This window comes from Homo sapiens, chromosome 8, assembly GCF_000001405.40.
Source record: "Homo sapiens chromosome 8, GRCh38.p14 Primary Assembly".
NCBI classification, from domain to species: Eukaryota; Metazoa; Chordata; class Mammalia; order Primates; family Hominidae; genus Homo; species Homo sapiens.
In genome coordinates this window covers 137,743,534-137,745,056 of record NC_000008.11, presented here as the reverse complement: position 1 = coordinate 137,745,056, position 1,523 = coordinate 137,743,534, and positions in this window count along the sequence as shown.

Sequence of the window (1,523 nt, the reverse complement as noted above, 5' to 3'; positions counted from 1 at the left end):
TAGAACAAAGGACAAAGACGATATGATCATTTAAATTGATCCAGAAAAATTTGATAAAATTTATAACCAAAAAAGAGCTCTCATAAAATGGGTATAGAAGGAACATACCTCAACACAATAAAATCCGTATACAACAGACCCACAGCTAGTATCATAATAAATGGAGAAAAACAGGAGGCCTTTTCTCTAACATCTTAAAAAAGACAAGGATGTCTACTTTCACCACTGTTATTCAACATAGTACTGGAAGTCCTAGCTAGAATAATTAGAAAAGAGAAAGAAATAAAGAGCATCTAAATTTAAAGAGAAGAATTGAAATTATACTTGTTTGCAGATGATGTGATCTTATTCAGAAAAACCTAATGACTCCACACACACACACACACACACACACACACACACACACACAAACTATTGGAACTGATAAATAAAATTGAGTAAATTTACAGGAAACAAAATCAACATACAAAAAGCAGTAGCATTTTTATATGCCAACAGTGAACAATCTGAAAAAGAAATCAAGAAATAATCCTATTTGCAAAAGCCAAAAATAAAATAAAATGTCTGGGAATAAACTTAACCAATAGCGAAAGATTTCTACAATGAATACTATAAAAGATTGATGCAATAAGTTGAAAAAGACCCAAAAACAGAAAGATATTTTATCTTCATGAATTTGAATAATTAATCTTTCCTCAATGTCCATACTAACTAAAACAATCTACAGGTTCAATGCAATCCCTATCAAAATACTAATGGCATTCTTCACAGAAGTAGAAAAAAATCCTAAAATTTATATGGAACCACAAAGCACCCAGAATAGCCAAAGCTACCCTAAGCAAAAATAACAATACTGGAGGAATCACATTACCTGACTTCAAATTATACTACAGAGCTGTAGTAACCAAAACACCATGGTACTGGCATAAAAACAGATACATGTACCAATGGAACAAAATAGAGAACACAGAAATAAATCCATAAATCTACAGTGAACTCATTTTCAACAAATGTGCCAAGAACATACATTGGGGAAAGGAGAGTCTCTTCAATCAATGGTGTTGGAAAATCTGGATAACCACATGCAAAAGAATAAAACTAGACTCCTATTTGTTACCATATATAAAAATGAAATAAAATGGATAAAAAACTTAAATCTAAGACCTCAAATGAAGACTTTGGAGAAACTCTCCTGGACATTGATCTGAGCAAAAATTTCTTGAGTAATACCCCACAAGCACAGGCAAACAAAGCAAAAATGGACAAATGGGATCACATCAAGTTAAAAAGCTTCTGCACAGCAAAGGAAATAATCGCCAAAGTGAAGAGACAACCCAGAGAATGGGAGAAAGTATTTGCAAACAATCTATCTGACAAATAATTAATAACCAGAATATATAAAGAGCTCAAACAACTCTAGAGGAAAAAATGTAATAATCTGATTCAAAAATGGGCAAAAGATCTGAATAGACATTTCTCAAAAAAAGACATACAGCTGGCAAACAGGTATATGAAAGGTACTA